Source organism: Homo sapiens, chromosome 6 (genome assembly GCF_000001405.40).
Source record: "Homo sapiens chromosome 6, GRCh38.p14 Primary Assembly".
Classification (NCBI taxonomy): Eukaryota; Metazoa; Chordata; class Mammalia; order Primates; family Hominidae; genus Homo; species Homo sapiens.
In genome coordinates this window covers 162225149-162248173 of record NC_000006.12, presented here as the reverse complement: position 1 = coordinate 162248173, position 23025 = coordinate 162225149, and the positions used below count along the sequence as shown (strand labels likewise).

Genomic DNA, 23025 nt, shown 5'->3' with positions numbered 1-23025 from the left:
GGGAAGGCTGAGCGTCCTTCTGATTTGACAGCTCATTCCATAGCTCTTCTGTAGTGGGGAGGTGATTAAGAAATACAAAACCCTTGAAACAAACCTAAGGCTTTCCAGCTCCTCTCTCCAGGGAGCCTGTGGGAGATTTTAAAGCCAGTTTTAAGTATAAAGTATATTGTTGAATTTTTATGGTCTATATTTTTAAATTTTAGATCTGATCATGGGGCTGGGGGGAAATTAAAGTAGTTGTCAGAGTAGACTTGGTCGTTTGGCTATAATAAAATCCTAGGTGCCTTTAATTATCGATTTAATCAAATTAACAAGTGTTCAAAAATAATTGTTGGTAAATGTAATATGATTGCAGGGAATCTTGGTTCATTCACAAGTGAGGAAACTTTGCCTTTCATAATTGTAGATTTTTATTTTCTAACACTATGCTAGAATCAACACAAAGCAGAGATTATTCTGGTGGGTTATAAAATCTCTGCTTTCTGGTCATATCACACAAAAGGGAAAAATAGTATTTTTACTATGCCTTGGTAAGAATTCTAAGATGAATTTATTAATTCAACTAAGAAAAAGACTACTTTTAATTTTGCATTAATGCATTGGAAATATAGGTTTTATGAGATCATTTTCCCCCTTAATTTATCTCACAAATAAGCCAATCAAAATTAGGTGAATTTTAATATATTTTATAGCTTCTTTTCAGACATAGGTGTTATAAACAAAAGCAGTTAAAATTCACTTCCCTCAAATTTTCCACAACTTGCTGTGTTCTCTCAAGTTTTATCTTTCACGGTGTCATTTCATATACTGGTACAAAACAACACTTTGCTTTAGGGAAAAAATACCCTATTCTTTTCATTCTTGAAAAAGAAAGCTCATCCCATTACTTTGGATAAATCGTTGTATTTTTCTGTTACTGTTTCTTCTATTTAAGTCTCAGCCACCAAATCCGATTATAACTTGTATTCAAAATAAGATCTTTGATTTCACAAAGAAACTGGAAAGTCATAATAGGAGAGCTGTGTGTCAAACACAAACATTTTAGCAGACTAACAAAGCTATAAATATATATAGTACAATTTTTAGAGCTACAGGCTCCTAAAGTAGCAAAACTAAAACAATTAATGTGACTCAAAAATATAGCCATTCTATAGTATGTATAACTAAAGGGCCAAAAATATGTAAACTAAATATTATGTCTGTTTATCATTGCTTTTGTTTTCAGCCTTAATACAAATTACCTAGCTGTCTGAAGATCAATCCATGTTTGCAAGTTATATATAAAGATATAAGAACCTACTACAGAAAAACTTGCCAGAATTATTATTCTATTTAGTCAGCTAAAAATGTATATTTTTCAAAAAACTTTAAAATTATGTCACTGTAATGCAAGATTTTGTGATTGAAAAATAGTTTGAGAAGTACGAGAAGTTCGGATTAAGTACGCTTTTCCTGGGAAACCAAACCCCAACCTGTTAAAATGTAAAATAGAAACCTTATCACATATTTAACACTGAAAAATGAGAGAAAAGTTTTTCCTTTCTTAAACCCAAATTATTAAAACTGTTCCATTGTCCAAAGATTCACCATATGTATGTGATTGGATTTCTGAGCAAGCAGTTTCTATAAGAGGAGATTTTTCCCTAAAAATCTAGAACACTTGAAGTACTCAGAGTTTGCTTTATTTTCTGTGAATTTTGCCGGTATTCCATTTGTATATGTCATTATTTATTTTTCTTCAACAACCAAAATCTATTTTTTGTGGTTCTGGAGGCCAAATGTCCAAGATCAAGGTGTTGTAGGTTTGCTTTCTTTCTAGGCATGTCTCTTTGGTGTACAGATGGCCGTCTTCTCCGTTTCCTCTCACGGGGTTTCCTCTACATACCCTCTTGTCTGGTGTGTAAATTTCCTCTTCCTATAAGGACAGTAGTCAGATTGCATGAGGGCTCACCCGAAAGACCTCATTATAATTAATCAAATACAGTTGGATTAGGAGGTGCTGGGGGTTAGAGCTTCAACATAGGAATTTTGACGTAATTCAGCCTGCAACAAGCAGGGAAACATTTCACACAACGGAGGCAACAGCTTTTGTGAATTACAGATATGTAGACGCAAAGCCATGTAGAGAATTTATAGCTTCAGTCCTACAACTTCAGTCATGCGTCAAAAGAAGATAGAGAATCACAAAAATGTATTAGTCCAGACCTCAAAGAGCTGTTTTCCTCCCCAGTGGGCATATGATTTTTAATTGATCTGAGGTCACCAAGAGATAAGTAAACACAAGTGACTTACACATAGTCTCTGTTGTCTCTTATTCAACAAAGAATAAAGCTGTGTCATCCAGGTCCAGAGATTGCCAGTCAGACTATCAAGGCAATTCCCAATCACTGTGACCACCAAAGGGAAATAGATTATTGTGAGTCTGTGCTCCAAGCAAAACCAAACACACAAATTCAGAAAAGAAAAAGGGGAAAAAGTGGAGAACCCCGGTTGCAGATTTCAAGATCTGTCTGACTTCAGGAACTATTCCTTAGTATATTAGTCCATGAGGCAAACTTCCTGGAAATGAAGGTTATTTGGTCCATTTGAGCGTGACCTCTAAAACCATTAAATTATAATTTCCAGTAAGGTAAAATAGCTGTTTTGCTATTTTATATTATATTATATTAGATATTATATTAGATATAAAATGTACAAGTGTCAAAAATTTTCTTCAACCTATTACTTAATGTGAGAAGCAGCAAGCTGTATAAATTGGTTCAAAAGGCTTTGGAAAAATTAGTGTCTTGATTATAGATAGGTAAATATGCAATTTAATAAAGAGATGTTAGCATAAGATTGCTAGACTAGATACAAATCTTGTCAAGTGTTTACAGGGCAATAAACCATAATATTTGAGGTTGTCTGCTCCACTGGACAGAAATTCTTTGTATTTCCACTGGAAAAAAGTGAACCACTGCTCCTACCGAGTTGTAAAATAGCCCATATAATAAACCTACATCGCATTGAAAGAGTACCAGTAATCTCTTTGGTTTAATTCTAAGTTTCAAATTTTTTTTGATTATTAAGAGAATGAAACTAAAATAGTCCTATTTAATATGTAAAATGTTTTGGTAAATATACTTTGCTCCCTGCAACCATTACATCACCAGAGAGATACAATATTTTACGCTCAAGAGAATAATAAGTATTTCCCTTTCTTCTAACAGTTTGTGAAACATTTACACTTACATTATCTCTTAGGGCCATAATTATCATTCCTTCTTTTATGGAGAACTGAGAGTAAAGATGAAATTGTTGGCCAAACTGTCATAGCTAAAAGATATTGAGGCTAAGATTGGAACCACTGTCTTTTGATTCAAAATTCCATATTCTTTGAATTAGATCAAAGTGTTTATGTGTACTTGATTAGATTCATTAGAGTCATCATGATTTGGAAGAATCAACATTAATTCCATATACCCTGATGCAAAAACAACCACTTCACCCCAAGCTCTTCCAAAAATCTTTTTTTATTTTTTTGGTAAAATCTTTGAGTAATGGTTTCCCAAATAAAGAGATGTCTACTTTCCATGGCCTGTTCATTTGGCGTGAATGCATATACCTGTTGACAGGACATACATAACTGACAGAAAAAATAATTTTGACAGTGTTTGGAGCTACTCAATGAGAAACTTTATATAATAATTTGAATTTGTCAAGAAGTTCTATAATCCTTTTATATATTTTTAAACACAATTTTGTGAACTTGGGTTTCCAAACTATCTTAGACCCATTTCTAAAGCTTTTTTTTTCCCTGTCAAATTAGTTCCAGGTGAGGAAAGAGCATATTGTGTATCTCCATCTCTGTACTTTAATACAGAATAAGATTGAATGTGCCCAGCCCTAGACCACAACCTGGCTTCTTACTCATCACCTCCCTGGGAATTCCATCAAAATGCAATCAGTGATCCATTCAAAATGGCCTCTTGAATTTAAGGTACACTGATGTTGTAGAATGTTAATATTCGTAACCACTTAGCTGCTGAACCAGACAAAACAGAATGACAAATCTAGCAATGCAGTTACTGTTGTTTACATTCTGCTTGTTAGGTTGCATTACAAAATTGGATGCCAAGTATATACCAAGTGTTTCTAAAGAGCAACTGTTTTTCCTCAGTGTTTCTATGGTTTACAATAATTGGTCCAAAGGGAGCTATCTGGTTTTATGTGTTTTTACTCAGCTGTTTGACAGTTGTTGCCCATAACTGCAAATTATTGATAGATTGATGGCACCATATATTCGTGAATTACATCCACAGTCCTTCATGATTGGAAGGAAACAGTAATTCTTGAAAAGATGGAAACAAAACATTTCTCTAAGGAATAATATCTAATTTGCATTGAATAATTAGCTCATCATCTTTCTTTTCCCTAAGAACTCACTGAGATGTGGGATTTGATGCTAGTCAAAAATCTCCATTATCCTCCTTATAGACACAATGAGGTTACACTAAAATATGCATATTAATTTTTGCATTCTTTGTAGATCTTCAGCAAACTTATCTTTGAAAGTCTTTGAAGATAGTAGCTAATTTAAACAAACTGAGTACTATGTACTAGAAACCTCTATTAAACTCGTATTAAATGTACCTGTTATACTGATACTTCACACTGACAGATAAAATTTCAATGACTTTTTTTTCAAATGATCAACCTGTGTTAAAACCAAGTTTTAATACGTTTATACTTGAAGCATTTTTGTGTGTGTGATGTTAAGCTTGGAACAATATTCCCCTTTTTCTCTTTTGTTAACTAGGAGAGCATGCTGAAGAGCTGTCATTGATAAGTCCTTGAATGTAATTTGATGGCTTCTTATTAACCCTTGGAGTCTGTGACTGCTATACAACTTCTTAGTTCTAAATGCAAAAATTTATATCCCCTCATGACCTTCCAGCAACAGCAGAATGTGATTTTGTAAGACATTAGCATAATGGAACCTTTTCAATAAAATGATAAATTGAGCCCATCTCAAGAAAACAGAACACACACTGGTAATTTATTGCGGTCATTGCCATGTGGAGGACCCCATTCATAGCATATGCTTTTAGCTCTGATGAGAACAGTGCTGTTCTTCAGATCCTACAAGTCTGCAAGATTGGCTGATAAATGTTTTTTTTTTTTTAAGGAACCAACAGCTCTTTGGGTAATAGGCATCATTACATGACATAATTATCTCACAAACATGTCTAATTATTCTATTGTTTTCAAGGCTCTTTCATGTAAATGTAAGTGTTGAATATAATTCCAGAATGTACAGACCCCTTTGTCCTTACCATGAAGATGCAGTTTTCTACGGTAATAAGGTTGATTGCCATTTTGCAACAGAAGGCGAAAATGCAGTCCAGAAACTAAATATGTTGGGGCAAAGAGGAGCTGCCTCTCTGTAGGTGTAAAGCCTGCAACAGGTGAGGGTAGACATGAGTCATTTTTGTCCAGATGTACCTCAAAGTTGTTTCACTGCCAGATGTTGATGGCATTTGTTGCTGTGAGTAGTTTCCTTTAATTTAGCAGATAATTGTGAAAATGTTATCAAAATATTTTTGCATGAGTTAATAGTTGATTGTTGTTCAAGAGGCATTTACATCTAGGAGGCAACTCTTTGTGTATGTATTCCCACTAAATGGTTTATGTACTTAGGTACATTTTACTTGGGAAGGATCCATTTAGAAAATAAAGGAACACATTACTTCAATAGCATATGTCGCTCTGACTACTAAGAGGTTCATGTTAGGCAGTCTGCTTTCTGTATGAACTGAGCAACTTTCTCAGTTTCTGGCCTGCATTTTCTGCCATTGGAAAAAGGTAACCAACCTTAACACTGTGGAAAACTGCATTTTCCTGGTGGGGACAAAGGGACCCGCACCTCCTGGATTCTATACTTAGAATGAGGAATCACACATACAACAGTGAAATGAGGTCACCCAGTGTGTGCATGAGTCTTTGTGTCCATATTTTGCTCTGAATACCAGGAATGTCAAACTCAATGTAAAACTTGGTGGTAATTTGTAGGTTGTGAAAAATTTTATTTTTTCTTCTCTCTTTATGCAATTTCTTATTTTAAAAGTGTCTTTTGTGGCTCCTTAATTTTAAATGTGGGAGTTTATTTTAGAATTATCCATGGAATGTGTTGTAATTGAATAAATAAAGTAGTTTGAAATATGGACTGATAAATTATATAGGTGCTTGTTGGGGGTGGGGGGAAGCCAGGAAATTCAGCTTCTTTTAAATTCCTTCTAGAAGGAATTCTACTTTACTAGAACTAAAGTGACTTCATCAAAGTTGAAGAAAACCTGGCATATCTGTGTTAGAGAATTTGCTGATATAATTGAGAAAACACTGAGTTTCATGATTATTACTACATATAGAATTCAATAGCCTGTATATATATGTTGGATATCATCAGACATAATACATTTCTATTAAAATATAAACATTTGTGTGATGAAGCATTCAAAGTTTAAAATAAAGAAACTTAGGGTAGCTTATACTCTTGAATAAAGTAGCTTTCATTTAGGATAGGGAAATACTTAAAGTGACAATGTTTCTTTTTTTCCCACCAAATCATGCCTATCAATATAAGTAGGGATAAGACCTAGATATTATAATTTGTCTTAAAACACTTTAACCACTTCTCACTTCTCAATCACAACCTCTCTAATTCATTTATCTCCATAAAATGATCTTATCTCTACTTGAACTCATTACACTTTACTCAATTGCTTTATCTAGCAATTTATTATGCCAATTCTATGTCTTTTTTAATAAAGTAATGAATATCTAGATGCATTTCTCAAATACTGTTTGCGTTAGCAGTTATATATTGTATCCTTAAGATTTGGTGCTATTTACTTACAATAACATTCTTTCACAAATCTAAATAATGTAGAAAACCTCTTAAGGAAATCAAAATCCAGTTATATTTTCCTACATGATAGACTAAAATAATAATGATGATGATAACAGTAATTGTAAAGGCATCATAAAAGACATTAGACAGAATTGCAGTAGAAGAGGAAAATGGGTCAGAATAACTTGTTAAGTTTTAATCAACTTTAACATACATTTTCTAATTTAAATTTCTAACATTGAAAGGAAATTTAAAAAGTCAACTCCAAATCTGCTTTAGAGTAAAATGGCTAAAGTGCCTAGGAGAGATGGAGGCAGGGCAGTTCTATAGTCTTCACCACAGTGATTCTTTCACCTTCTTCAAAACATCATTCTAGATGTTTTATGCTTCACCTTTTTATCAGTGTATATGAGTGAAAACTCATCATATATGAAAAAGAGGCCTCCAAATGTGTTGAACTGAATGGTACTTTGGTAGGTAACTCTACTCTTAAGTATTGATTTATTTCCCTCTCTTTTCTCAGTTTTAATGGGTTCACCCTAATGCTTTAGCATTTACTCTTCACTGGGATTTGGACGCAATTATACAGCTACAGGTTGACTTCTATGGTCTTGATTCCCTTGCTGTGAATAAGGAGGTAAACAATCAGTATGATTTTTCAATGTACAGGACAACTTTGCATGGTGTTATTGTTACTTCCTACAATTAATATTTCTATATTTATTAAATATGCTTCTCCCACAGGCTTCATTTGCTAGCCTAATTTTTCAAAATAGAAATAAGTTAATTGCTTCTAATCAGTAGGTAGCCATGAGACACATAGCAATTTTTCGTTAATATCTCTAAATTTTTCCCAAATGATGAAATTCCTCTTAAAAGTAAAAACATTGCTGCCAGTCCACACATAGGGCATGCGTGGGAAGGAAAGAAGGAGACTGAGAAATGTTGGAAGGTCTGTTCTGTAACAGCTTTTATACCGCAAGATGTCATTTGCATAGTCTTCGAAAACACTTATTGGATGATAGAATTAATAATATACTTTCAAAGATCTTATTTTAAAAAATTTTTAATTGTTTTTCTCTGGCTCCTCATTTGCTCAGAGCTGCTGGGGAGCTTCCCCCGACTCCTTGAAACAAACCTTAATGGCTTGGTTAGCAAAGTGTCATTCAAACCTGAGCGTAAAACCTGCCGGTTGGGATTATTGACATTCGTGAACAAATGCAAATGTTATAAATTTCTTAACCTTCATAAAGATTTACTATGATGTGACCTTGGACCTGGCCATAGATCTCATGAGAACAGTATGGGGAAGTAGTACTCATGCTGTTATATTAGGAAGATAACTTGTGAACACAGACTGAAGCCAACATCTGGGAGGCCTGGGTTATTGTTTTATTTTTGTTTTGGCTTTATTGTTTTAAGACAGCTAAGTTGTATAGAGTAGTGATTGGACCAAAATATTAAAAATATAAAAATAGTCGAGCCCACTGGAGGCCATGAGAACACCCGTTTCAGCTGGTGGTCTTGGTGGTCTTCTACTCATGCCATTCTCCCTAATTAGCTTTGCACTGTAATGCCTGGGAATGGGCTGCAAGCAGAATTCTCAGGAGGCTTTTGCTCTTACGCTGAACATAGTCTTGAACTTTCTCACCCATTTGTTCTGGGTTCTTTCCTTTTCATGGGTTCTCCTGACATGCAGTTGAGACGCTCCTCAACTCCCACGAAGCCGAGATGCCGTGGGAGTGGAAGTGGGTTGTATCACAGCTCTGCGCTGCGTTGGATGGCTGACTCTGGGCTTGCCGCTTAACCATGCCGGGCCTCTATTTAATCATCTATAAAATGGAAAAAATGAAACCTTTACATCATAAAATAATATGTCTTTTAGGGATTTATGCTCAAATATCTTGCATTACAAAATAGTTAAAGAGGTTTGTAGGAATCTATAAAATGTAACAAAACAGAAACAAATTAGAGCCAGGAAAAATATAGATAAAATAGAAAATAAAATCTGGGGAGATGAGTCGGCCAACCTGCAAGCTGTGTTCCTGCTCAGTGAGAAAGGCTTGTGGACAAATGTAGTTCCAGTTTTCCAGGAGATGAGCTTGCCATAGAGACGTATTACTACATACCATCAAATCCATAGTGTACTTACTATACTAATTGTATTCAGTGATTTATCTAAAATATTACATTTAAGCATTTCCCTCCTTCTCTGAAGTGTACATTCAGAGAAGTATGCTAGCGTTTTCTCTGGTCATTTGTTGGATACTTGTGCGCTTCATTTTGTGCATCATTAAGGAAATGTCAGTGATCATGGTGGTCTCCAGTATCATAGTAAGTAAACCCTTCTGTCACTGGTGCACAGCCACGACCAGAGGAGACCCCCTTCGGGCACTGCACACGTGGCCCGTGCCTCGGCATCATCCTTTGCTTCCTGCTCCACGTGCCTTGCTGCCCACACAGCTGTGCCTGGCACATTGTACCTCCAGTGGCTCTGGGCAATGTGTGGGGAGTGGACATTTCAGAGTCTACTCTGAGTCTTCTTTCTGTTTCTCTAAACCAGAAAAACAACAGAATATTCTAGGTCACAACCAATGCAGCAGAATGAATAAAAGGGTGAACTTTGGGGTCAGCCAGGTAGTGGGTCCTGGCCCAGTCATCTGGCCTCATAGAAGGCCACTTAACTCCCAGGGTCTTGGCTCCTTTTCCAGAAACAAGGAATACTAACGTCTTCCTTGGGTTTTTATTTTAAGAATTATGTATGTAAGTTGCTTTGTCTAGGCTTGATCAGAATTAGAGCTTATGTCTTCATTACAAGCTATTAACATATTTATGTATAGTCACGTGTCACTTAATGACAACATACTTCTGAAAAACACATGGTTAGACAATCTTCTTGTTGTGCAAACAACATAGAGTATACTTACACAAATCTAGATGGTATAGCCTACTGCACACCTGGGCTGTACGGTGTAGCCTATTGCCCCTAGACAACAAACCCATGCAGCATGTTTCTGTACTGAATACTGCAGGCAACTGTAACACAATGGAGAGTATTTTTGTATCTAAACATTAAAAAGTAGGGTAAAATACAAAATACCACCATATACACATGCCATGATTGATGCAGATGGGGCACATGACTGTATGTTATAGATTTAAAATACCAAACACATATACAAGCCATATGGCAAAGTATGACAGTTGGTACAATTGTAATTATTAACAACTCATTCATTTTGCTGATGAGGATATTGAGAGGAGTGCAACTACAATTCAGGTTTCCTATTTCTTCCTCATGGCTTCTTTGTAACCTACCACGTGCTCTCTACCTGGATAATGTAATATGTGCGTTCTTGCGTGTATGTACAGGGACAAAGGAGATCCTCTGGTCCCTGGACTGAGACTGCCTGTTTTCTTTCCCACCAGATGGCCAGTACGTATCTGGGAGAGATAATGAAATGCACCCTCCTACCTCACTTTTTTTTTTTTAACCAAATATCTGATATTAAAATATCAGATATGCATTTATGACAGTTCATGTTCACAGTGAAACAAAGCACCCTAAACCCACTGCCTTTTTGAATCCTTTTGGTGACTGCTTGCTTATTGCTAAAATGTTCTTCCTTAAAACTGGGATGCCATAAGCATGCCTCCTTTCTCCACCTTCTTTTTGTGATTGACAGGTAAGGCAGAACCCAAGAAGTATTTTCAACAAACTTATTTCTAGCCATTCGGCTGCCTTTGTTGTTGATAGGTAGAGCACTTCTCATTCCTAACAAAGTTGTTCAGAGGAGCACTGAGGCATTGCAAACATTTAACAGACCACTGGAGATAACATGAACAAAGAAACTTTCAATAATATGAAGAAGAAAAGCAAGAAATCATTATGTAAATTGTTTCACTTTGTGGTTAAGTGGTGGTGGTGGTGCTGTTTTGTTGTTGTTTTTATTCGCTTCACTGACTCTTTTTATGTACTAGGTCTTGCCCTATTGTTTGCATAAATTTCTTTCATGATTTAAAATTCTTTTTGTTTTCTAATAATCACATTTTTTTCCATGCTAAATTTATCTTTCCAAGTCATAAAGGAGATGTGATGAGAGACTAAGGAACAACCACCAGAACTATTCTAACCTCGTAAAAAGCATTTCTCATTAAAAACCCTGTCAAATAAAAAATAAATCTCAATTTAGTAAGAGTAGACGTTATTAGAAAGGATTATTGCAGGGGCTTAGGGATGGGCTATTCGAATAGTGGGAGGAGGATGGGTGCAATAGAAGAATGCTCTGACCATAAGATCTGCAGGCATCTCAAGGGTTAGGCAAAAGGGGCTTTTCTTTTCTTTTCTTTTCTTTCTTCTTTCTCTCTCCTTCCTTCCTTCCTTCCCTCCTTCTCTCTCTCTCTCTCCCATTCTTTCTCTCTCTTTCCTTCCTTCCTCTCCTTTCTTTCTCTCTCTCTCTGTCCCTCTCTCTCTCTTTCTTTCTTTTTTCGAAATGGAGTTTCTCTCTTGTCACCCAGGCGGAGTGCAATGGTGCAATCTCGGCTCACTGCAACCTCTGCGTCCCAGGTTCAAGCGATGCTCCTGCCTTAGCCTCCTGAGTAGCTGGGATTACAGTCATGTGCCATCATGCCCAGTTAATTTTTTTTTTTTTTGTATTTTTAGTAGAGATGGAGTTTCACCATGTTGGCCAGGCTGGTTTCAAACTCCTGACCTCCAGTGATCGGCCCATCTCGGCCTCCCAAAGTGCTAGGATACAGGCGTGAGCCACCACACCAAGCTTGGGCTTTCTTTTATACAGGGGAATAAACAAGCTAGTAAGAACTGGTGTGGAGGAGTGGGGTGGAAGAAAGACATATGGGATAGTAAATGAGAGAGGGTTTTACCCTAGGGCCAGCTTCTTCTCAGGAGAGGCTCTCTGCTGGCTGGGGTTGAGGTCAGGGTTCTGAGGATAGAGAGAACCTTCACCAAATTTAACCAATAAGCATTTCTGATTCATCAGTAGGGACAAGCAATCCAGCTAATCATTGTTGAGGCAAAGGATAGGAATTGGAAGTCTGGCCTTGTCCTATGTAGTCAACGGGTACAAGTGATATTAATGTCCCTTCCAGTTCCAAGTGCAGTTTAGTGCTTTGAGAATATTATTCAGAGATTCACTTATAGCAGTTACATTTTTACCAGTGTTAGGTGACACATCTAATTCATATGGGGAAAGGGGGACCTGGCAGTAAGCTGTTTTTGATCACACTGAAGGGTGAGGAGTTTCTTTCTTTCTTTCTTTCTTTCTTTCTTTCTTTCTTTCTTTCTTTCTTTCTTTCTTTCTTTCTTCCTTTCTTCCTTCCTTCCTTCCTTCCTTCCTTCCTTCCTTCCTTCCTTCCTTCCTTTCCTTCTTTCTTTCTTTCTCTCTCTTTCTTTCCGTCTTTTTCTTTCTTTCCTCCCTCCTTTCCTCCCTCCCTCTCTCTCTCTTTCTTTCTTTCTTTCTTTGAGACAGAGTCTTGCTCTGTCACCCAGGCTAGAGTGCAATGGTGCAATCTCGGCTCCCTGCAACCTCCACCTCCCGGCTTCAAGCAGTTCTCCTGCCTCAGCCTTCCGAGTAGCTGGGATTACAGGCACCAGCCACCGCGCTAGTTTTTGTATTTTTTTAGTAGAGACAGGGTTTCGCCATGTTGGCCAGGCTAGTCTCGAACTCCTGACCTCATGATCCACCTGCCTTGGCCTCCCAAAGTGCTGGGATTAGAGGCTTCAGCCACTGCGCCCGGCCATGAGGAGTATTTCTTTAATTTTCATTGTTTTCCAGGGGCTCAGACCTCAGGTAAAATTCAATCTTGACAATATGCATTCTTTATATGTAATGTTCGTAGATAGCTATAACATCATTTGTCCACAATATCAGAATGACGGAGGCATGTCGTAAGACTCATTTATGATAGTGCTGCAAGTCACATAGATATTCAAACAATATTAAACATCGCCTCCAGATAAGAATATTACCTGGCTAAAAAACAATAAGGCAATGTAATTATTACACAACTGGAAACACACTCAGATTCCCAGTTTACCTCTCACAGTAGAACTTTTAAAAGCAATCTGGACAGTAGGATTTAGTGGTAAGTTTTGGTTCTTCATATTTTAAATTTCAAAAAAACCTCACATAATAAAAGACAAATATCCCTTAAGCCTCTCATTCAGCTAGTTTCCTTTGTATAAGAAAAATAACATACTAATCCTTTTATACCATTTTTTTCATAAAGTTATATTTTATTCACCTAACACTGGTAAAAATGTCACTGCCATAAGAGAATCTCTGAATACTATTCCCAAAGCACTAAACTGCACTTGGAACTGGAAGGGACATTAATATCACTTACCACCCACTGCCAGTTGTTTTTCCAGATGAAAAAACTGGAGGCACATTGTGCCGATGTGCTGAAGTCCACATAGCCTGTTTGTCATGCTGTCATTTCTCCCACAGGACAGCTCTTCAAGTGATAACACAGACGGTGTCTGTCACCACAGTCTGCCCTCTATTCTTGGTTCTGCATCTGCAGATTCAACCAATCCATAAAAAATACTTGGTGGAAAAGCAGTAAAAAATAACAATAAATATAAAACATAATGCAAATTTTAAAATAAATATGAAAAGTATTAGCACAGCTCTTACCTTGTCATAGGTATTACAAGTCATCTAGAGATGATTTAAAGTATACAGTAGGATGTGTGTAGGCTATATGCAAATACTCTGTCATTTTATATCAAGGACTTGAGTGTCTGCAGACCGTCGTATCCATGGGCATCCTGGAACCAACCCTCCTCAGATCCTCAGGGACAACTCTATATTATGTTATATAACTAAATTAAAACATATGACTTGTGTCATTTCTTCCCTGGTAAATCTTTTCAATGAACCAACTGAATCAAACCTTTTAGTATATAAACTGAACTGAAATAAATCAAAATTCAGAATCCTAAAGCCAGCTCACTGGGGCCTGGCTCCACTTTTCCTCAGTTCTGTCTCCCCACCTCTGCCCCAACTCAGTGTGGCCCAGCCTTGACATGATGCCAGGGGCATTCTCCCTCTGAGTCCAAAACATTCTTAGTTGCAAATTGTCGTGTACCTGTTCTCACTTTCCCATAGTATCCTAACAACACATTCTCTGCTTTTTTCCCCCATCCTATGTTAGGTTCAATACTATGATTCTGAGCTGCATCTTTTTCTTTTCCTCATAGAATGTGTCAAAATCACATATTTATTTTTGTCATCAACTCTTCAGTATATGTCTTAGTCCATTTTCTGTTGCTATAATAGAATACCACAGTCTGGATAATCTGTTAATAAAATAAGTTTATTGGGCTCATGCTTCTAGAAGCTGGAAAGTCCAAGAGCATGCCACCGGCATCTGGTGAGGGCCTTCTTGCTGCCTCACATGGTTAGAGGACAAGAGCATGCATGTCCATTCGTATCTCCTTCTCTTCCTATGAAACCACCAGTCCTATCAGGGTGTCCCCTCTGCGATGACCTCATCTAATCCTAGTTACCTCCCAAATGCCCCACTTAAAATTAATATATGAGCTTGGGGATGAAGTTTCTAACCACATGAAATCTGGCGGACACGTCCAGTATTTCTTGAATGTTTAAATAAGTGAGTGTATTCAATAAAATGGCTTCCCCAAAAGTGGAAAATTTTTTCGTTAATTATTTTTTAATTGACCATCTTTGTCTATAAAATGAGGAGGAGGTTTTTTCTCCTCAGATATTAGAGTCATTTTAATGGCTTCACAGTATTTCACTTTCCATTAACATAACTGAGGCTATTAGTTTTTAATCCAGGTTTTTGCATTTGTGACACTGCATCAGTGAACATCTTGTATGTGCATATTTGTATAGCATTTCCTTAGAATAAGTTCCTTCAATCTGAATTACGAGATATGCATTATCTTGGTGTATTTTCAGTCAATACATTCCTTAATGTATCATATAGAAATACTTGCATATGCTTTGCTTTAAAAATGTCTATATTTTTTCTAGGATTCACATCCAAATAATAGCCAATATTAATGAATAACCTTTACATATAGATATTGGAGATGTTTTAAAAACCTCTTGGAGAGTTAATATTGAAATGACAAGATGTGCCTCTTTTTGCAGTATTCACATGACTTTTTGTACACAAGGGTGACTATAGGACTCTATCAATGGGTTTCTTTTAGAAGTCTCCATGTGGTATTATTTTACTGTAAGGAAATATAGTTGTTCATTAGTGCTCATGGTGATATTTGTGCAAAATAAATAAACACACTTTTATGCTGGTGTGTATTTCCTCTTTTACTCAATTATTTACCATGACTTTTTTTTTTACCCAAACATAAGTTTTAAATATTGATCTCTGTTAATGAGCTGCATCAGAAATTCTCCAATCTGTATTAATTAATATCCTCTAAAGCCTGTAGTTTACACACCACGCTTTGTGCAGATACTGGCATTAAACAGTCCTGTAACATATAAATGCATAGGAGGTCTTGGCGGGATTTTTTTTCTTACTTGATTAAGGCAGCCCCTGATCACTGACAAACTTGTCAAAGCCCCTGTGATCTAAAGACCTTGAATAAAGTCACAGCAGAGAGAAGAAAAAATCACACAAAGCCTTTTGCTAATATTAAAATGTTTGAAGTGACTGGCTTAATCTCAACCTTGAGGCAAATCAATGATTTCATACCAAGCGGCTGCTCCATTATATGCCTATCCTCAGAAAAGTGAAAGGAAAAGCAATTAATCCACCACTTCTGAGGAAAAGGGTCCATTTTCCCTGACATTCAACTGGCCATTTGATAAACTGAGCTATATTTAGTGAGGAAGATGGGGATGAACCCCCAGGAGTTGGGGAGTGAGGAGGAAAGGTCGCCTTTCTCCTGGTCATCATCCTTTTACCCCTGCAAAGGAAAGGAAGGCAGCCCCTGCAGAAGAAGGGGACAGTAGCCAGGCATGGGAGGGGAGCTGCAAAGGCCCTGAGCACATAGCCTTCAACAGGCACTGCAGGTCAGCAACAGTGCCGTGAGCTAGGCTCAGAAAATAGGAGTCAGGAGATGCAGAAATTGTCAGGCTAGCCAAATCCCTATGTGGCTGCTCATACCCTACATACCCCTCGTTTCGCATAATCTTGAGATAAAGCCTCTCTCCCTGTTCTGGGAAAGTGATACCTTATTCTGACACTATGTTAGAAATTGGCTTTCCAAGGGCTGTGAAATTAACCTCCCTGAGAGGTTAAGGGGTATGGAAGTGGTCACAGTGACAGACCCCCATCTCTAGGTGACAGGTGATGACACTATGATACTGTGGACACAGCAGCCTTAACCCAGCCAGGCCCTTATTAGTGAGGTGGGGCCAGAGAAATTACAGAGCACTGCATTTCCTTAGTTTTCCTTCTGTCTTCTCTGGGAGAGATTGCCTTGTTTAATTCATATATATTTTTCTCTCTCTGGGATGTAGTTAATCATTTGGGACAGCGGATCAGGTGGTTAAATTAGGCTTCCTGATTTGGGAATGAATAGGTAACTCTCTAATTTCACAATACCAAAACCTCAGCATATTCGGTATTAACCTATTGAATGGGATTACCACACAAGTATGATTTTCCTAGGACCGTGCTATGTGTATGGCTGTTATTTTCCCAAATGATCAAATTGTGATATTTCACTGTCCTAGATACAGATCCAGCAGGCAGCTGATACTGTCTGCTCTGTCTTTCCAGGATTCCCTCTCACACCTTATCACTTTGTTGCAGTTCTCAGTATAAATAAAATGCAGTTCCTCATCTGAAGAGATTTTGGGGAGTTAGGGAACACCACTGTTAAATTTTTTCCCAATGACTTCTTACCCATTTAAAAAGTATGCTTATCTATTTAGGCATAACTGAACTTCACATTCTCTGAAATCAATTTGTAATTACAAACACTATTTATAACACTGGGACAATAAATTTGGTTTTCCCTTTCAGAAAGTAAATTTTCTTTATAAACATTGAGAAATGTTAGTATTTCAGTTTACATGGAGGGTGATCAGGAGGGTTGGCTTCTGTATTAGGGAGGATCTCTCAGCTCTCTGAAATATTTTCTTTGGAAACTAACTGAGTTTAGAGGAGAGAGAGAAGGAGAGGGAGAAAGGAAAAGGAGAGAGAGAGGGAGGCATATTTATCTGAGGTTTCCAGTGAGGAGCGAATTTCCTCTTAATTTCTGAGAAAGCTGATAAGCTATCTATGGAATGCCTTCAGCACCTCCAGCATTTGTCGTACAGGAACCATCAGTCCAATGAATTTACATCACATTGGGGAGACAGGTGTCTGAACCCACGATGTTACTTTGAAATATTTTTTATGAGATAGAAAGAAGATCAGAAAGCTACAACAGAGATTTTAAGTTATTTTCAGATGGGCATGCATAGAATTTTTATAAAGTACTGCTTTAAAGAGCCATGGATACCTTCTCTTCACTGTGACTTGGTTTGCCTGGTGCAAGATAGGAGCAGTCAATTAACAGAGTTTCTTGTAGAATGCAATTCATTGGCATGACAGCAAAGCAAGAATGGGATTCTCTCCAGGCTGTTATTAGATTTCTGTGACCCTCCTCTATTGTTCACAGTTGTGTAGATTCCTATCTTCAAGTTATGTATGCTGTTCTGTATTAGAACATGAAATTGAAGTCAGTAGATCAGTCCTAGGGGACACATTGTTCTGACTAACAGTCTCTGGTGAGCATTATTCAAATTGTGATCAGAGCAATCACTAAATATAAGTGGAGCAAGTGAGGAAGTTGGTTATCAGCTGAGTGCCTTCCTCTTCACTCTTCCCCTGGATCCTCCCAGACTTCAAGCCCAGCTTGCCTCTTGCAGGATTATTTCAAAGAGGGTGTGCTTCTTCCCACTTGCTTCTAGCCAAGGAGCTGGCTTGGTATACAGCAAATGCAGCCAGCTACATCCTGCTCTGTGAACCGTCACTGTTGTCATACTTCTTGGCTCATGCCAACAGATAGACACACTTACAGTTAATTTGAGTATTCACTGGCTCCATATAGGCCAATAATATAAAAATTGCTTCAGTAAGATATGCTCATGCATATATACATATGTAATGACTACTTGATTTCAACCTACAACCTTGCTATTCAAAGTTATGTTTATTTGCACTTCAGTTTACCTTTACAATAATAGAATATAAGAATTGTCTGGTACCCAGGCTGTGAAAAGGGATGCACATTCAATTATGTTTCCTTCAATAAAGGAAAGTTTACGGAGTGCAGGCTCTGTGGCGGAGTGGTTCTAAGTACTCAGATGTAATGGTGAAAACAACAGGCAGGATTCCTAGCCTCATGGAGCTGACCTTATAGTGGGAAAGATGGCCAGTAAGCAAGTAATTAAATTAATTTGCTATATAATTTGAGCTAGTTATGAGTCCATACAGAAATGTCAAACAGATCGAAAGGATACAGGTATTGGTCGTTTGTACAAAAACAGACTATTTCTGAAAGGCTTCTCTAAGTCGAGTGCTGGATAGATTGAGGGAACTAGCTGTGCAATGTTGAGAGGAACAGTGGAAAGGAAGAGGGAATGGCAAGTGCCAAGGCCGAGGGCAGATATTGAGTTTGGTGTATGTAGATGTAGAGTGGCTGGATCTGGGAATGAACTGGTGATCTGGGAGAGGGGCAGGGGCAGATGTGTGTAAAGAATATGCATAGGTAGCCATCAGCAGGTGCTGAGCAAAGGAATAATGGGCTCTAATTCATGTTTCTAAAAGAAAAGCCCAGCCTCTGTTGGAGAAATGGCTCAGGCAGGCTGAAATGGATGCAGGTAATGGATTCCAGGTAAGAGCAGGTGCTTGCGTGGGTGACGCTTGTGTCATTCTGAAGGTGGTGAGAGGTGGTCTCATTCTGGAGTGATCTTGATGATAAAACCTACAGTATCTGTTGATGGATTAGAAGCTGAATATGATGGAAATAGAGAAATTAAGGATGAATCACAGTTACTTGAACACCTGGGTGACTGGGGGTGTTTTTGTTGGGATGGGGGAGACTAGGCAGAAGCAGGTTTTGTTGAAGAACAATCAGGGATTCTAATTTGGGCATAGTAATTTAGAGATGGCAAGGCAGATGAGTCAGGGAGACAATTTGCTGTACAAATCTGCAGCTCAAAGCTGGAAACATAAATTTAGCAAAAAGCAAAGGGTAGATACGTAAGCCATAGGACTGAGAAGATCACTTGAGCAGCGAGTTTGGATAGAAAACAGAAGTGGTCCCATAGATTGCGCTGTGGTACCTTCCATCATTTAGAGGTGTACAAAAGATCCAGCATACAACACCGCAAAGCAGCAGCTACTGGTGGTGCATGTGGAAGCTTGTGGCTAGGCTGATGTTACTGTGGGTTCTATTCTTAGTGATGGTACTTGAGTCCAAATATCTGGAAGGATTTTGAAAAATCAGAACAGTGCAAGATTGGAGCTCTATTTAAAGACACCTGGAAATAATGTTTGTAAACCAATATGTAAAGTGCAATATTGGACTCTGCTAGGCATTAGGTAGAGTCAATTTTCATGTTTTCGCCTCATTAAAGTGAAGATTTTTAATAAGCTTTGAATAGCTGTTTGAAGATATTTATAACTTCAATCAGCTCACATATTTATCAGACATTAATTTCAAACCATTTAACGATCTTTCAGCAAAGTGAGATGAGTGATCAATGGACTAAGAACTTTTTCCCCTAAATTTCTTGTTTTTCATTTTAATGAATCATAACTTTATTTTTCAAATTTTAAATGAGCATTCACATTTATACAGGAAAGGATTAGTTCTGGGACTCTCATTACCAATATTTGTCATTTTTGAAGGTGGAGAGAAGAGTCTCTAGTCCCTGTCTGTACGTGTGGTTGACCAACTGTAACATCGGGGACCCACTTATGCTTTGCATCTAAAATGTAGTGCTCCAGATTTCTATTTTCCACAAAATATACTCTAAGAAGTCAATTCCACAGCCCTTATGATGAATTTCTCTTTTGAATTTTGAATTTAGTGATTTTGTGGTTTGTGCATTTCAGTTGAAACACGTCTCTCTAAAGCATACCTGCTTCAGTAGAAATAAAGACTAAAGGCTTCTCTCTTATTACGTGGTTCAATCCCTCTTGTAATTTGCTTTATGCCCAGGTCCTTGAATGAGCTCAGCGTAGTGAGGTTTCTACACCTTCTATTTGGAGAATTCTCTCTACGATAAACATTGTGTCTGCACATTCACCACCAAACATGAGAAAATAGCCCTCACAAGAACACATTGATGTCACTCAGGTCACTAAGTAGTTAAGTTTTTTTTTTTTTTTTAATGGAACTACTGGTTTTTAAAATACAACATCCTTTGTCCATCTTTTTGGACTTCCCCCAAATTTCAATAGAGGAACACAACCTTAGTGTTTTCTGTCCAGAAGGCATGCACGTTTTCTGTATGGACACTAGGGATGGTGAGAATGCATTTGCCAGCTTTGACTAAGTAGCTAACTTCACTTTTGTTTTTATGTCACATAGGGCATAAGAATGGTAGAAGGCTAGTGCATTTTTCCCTACTATGTTTTTCAAGTTTAAGAGTGAGGGGAAGAGAGTAAGATTAATTAATGTCAAATTAGACCTCAGCTTTGTACCTTCAGGTAGAGGTCAAGCACAAAGTGAAAATCAACACCATAATTTCATAATTTGGGACTCACATATTTGCGCCATTTCTAAAGTAAAACAAGTGTTTGTGGGTGTCAGATTTATTGATCATTGAGAGAGTCTCTTACATTTAAACTATAATTGGATATGTTTTGGGTTTTCAAAAACCATGATTTTCAGGAACTGTGTTCTAATGGATATAGATATAAAGGGTAGAGAGAGAAAAAAAAAGTAGCTAAATTATTCCAGATAATGAAAAGCAAGATAAAATTTGCAGTGGTTTGGTTTATTACATTAAGGTGGGGGAAAAAAACCCTTATTTTCAAAGTGTTGCATAGCTAAAAATGAATGCAATAGTCAATGAGTAAAGGGTGTGGATGTTAAGAGAATTAACACACACACTAAAATTTGGACTTTATTACAGAGAAATCATACCAACTACGTAAAGATGTACATATGCGGAAGACTGTATGCAAGTCCCATACGTATACTAGGATAGTTACGTAAAGTTAAATGTAGATATATACACTGGTTATCCATTGTGCTCCTCCTGCTGTATGACAAGAAGACTGTGCATTTGCAGGAGAGCCAGCCAGGCAGCCAGCCGGCTGTCAGCACTTTCTGGCCGGATCATTAGCGCAGCAAGAGAATGAACTTCTGTGCTCAGGATTAGGATTTCCTCATAAGTAGCAGCATATACCAAGGAGGGGACTGGAGCCATGACTGATTTTGAAGAACTGATTTGGCCTGAGCCAGTGGCTGAAGCAGCGAGCTGCCCATGCCTAGGAATTCTTAGGCTCAAGTTAATCTTGTTATACTCATGGAGTCTTCGGGCAGTTCACGACTTCAAAAGATTGAGATCAGCCTGACCAACACGGTGAAACCCCGTCTCTACTAAAAATACAAAAAATAGCTGGGCGTGGTAGCAGGCGCCTGTAGTCCCAGCTACTCGGGAGGCTGGGACAGGAGAATCGCTTGAACCCAGGAGGCGGAGATTGCAGTAAGCCAAGATTGCAGCACTGCACTCCAGCCTGGCAACAGAGCAAGGCTCTCTCTACAAACAAACAAACAAACAAACAAAATTCTTGGTGTTCCTCCTGCACAAATCCCTCCCAAATGTCTTTGCAGAATTTCTCCCAAATTGCAGTAATTTGACCCACATGGCTCTGCTCGTGAGGACTGGTTTCATGCTTGTTGTGGGCCTTTCCCATTACAGTGCCATTGTGGAAGGAGGAGCCCTAGGGCCCCTATCCACAGCACCCAGGAAGGGGTGCAGCGCAGCCTTGGAGGGGAGCACTCTCTCCTTTCTGGTGCCTGCGTGTCTCTCTCTCTCTCTCTGTATCTGTCTCTGCCTCTGTCTTGTCTGCCTGTCTGTCTCAAAGCGCATAGCCCTGATTCTTATTTTTCTGCTTTTCTCAGTCTCTCTTTTTTTATGAGTCTTTTCTTTCTTAGGGTAAGCACTGACTCTTTCTCCTTAAGTTCTTTCTAACCTGCCCAGTTTGATCTAATTTTATTATTATTATTATTATTATTATTATTATTATTAAACTTATTGATGCCTTCTCCCTACCTGTATGCAATAGATTCCCCTGGGGGATCATTGCTTCCAACTCTTTCCATTTGTATATACATATGGTTTCCTAAACATATATGTTTAGGAAATAAAATAATAAAATAATAGAAGTATAAATATATAACAAAAGTATATATATATATATATATACAGCCCTACATTAACAGCAGTCATTTTCTGTAGCCAGCAGTTTACATTAGTTAATAACTATTTCCCAGGTAAATCCACATTGTCCTTTTATATGAGATTTCCCCATATATGTTTTCTGAAGTTAAACACATCAGCTACATCTACTGTCAATTTTGTTACTGTGGGTTGATACAACAAAATCTTTGGTCAAAGCACATTTATTAAGCCTCTGCTGTGTGTACAGCATTGGAGTTGGCTCCATGGAGGGTGCAGAGATGAGGAGCTCCAAGGTGCATAGTGTTGGGGAGATGTGCACAGCAGAGATCTCAGGTTCTCCAGGTCTCTTTGGCCACATCAGTGTCAGGTTAGTATGAAAAAGAAGGTTAGATTAACTTAGAAATACTTTTCAAACTTCTGAAGATACCAAAGAGATGAAAGAAGGTATCCCGATCTCTCAGCTTTAAAAATAGACCACAATAACATGTAAGCCTGAATTTCTCAAGTTCAACAGGTGCTATGGTTTGAATATGGTTTCTTCTCACAGAAGCTCCTGTTGAGTCTTGGTCACCAATGTAGGTGTGTTGGTTTAAAGGTGGTGGGAACTTCGGGAGGTGCTTGGGTCATAAGGTATTTACAGTCATGGATGGATTAATGCCATCTGACAAGAGTGGGTTCTTACTTTTGAGGGACTGTATTAGTTACTATGAGAGCAGGTTGTTATAAAGTTCGGTCACTCTTTGTGTTTTGTCTTTTGCACCT

At 37.9% G+C, this 23025-nt stretch overlaps 1 protein-coding gene and 1 long non-coding RNA gene across 7 annotated transcripts in view; one reads left to right on the top strand and one right to left on the bottom strand.

Moving 5' to 3' along the window:
- PRKN (parkin RBR E3 ubiquitin protein ligase) overlaps positions 1 to 23025 on the top strand; it is a 1380350-nt gene that overhangs the window by 479593 nt on the left and 877732 nt on the right. The window lies entirely within an intron of this gene.
- LNCR-SMAL (lncRNA senescence and mitophagy associated regulator of PRKN) lies at positions 8261 to 13394 on the bottom strand. Its single transcript, XR_943203.3, has 2 exons — positions 13256 to 13394; positions 8261 to 8721 (listed from the first exon to the last, which is right to left on the bottom strand). It is a non-coding gene; the product is annotated as a lncRNA senescence and mitophagy associated regulator of PRKN (long non-coding RNA).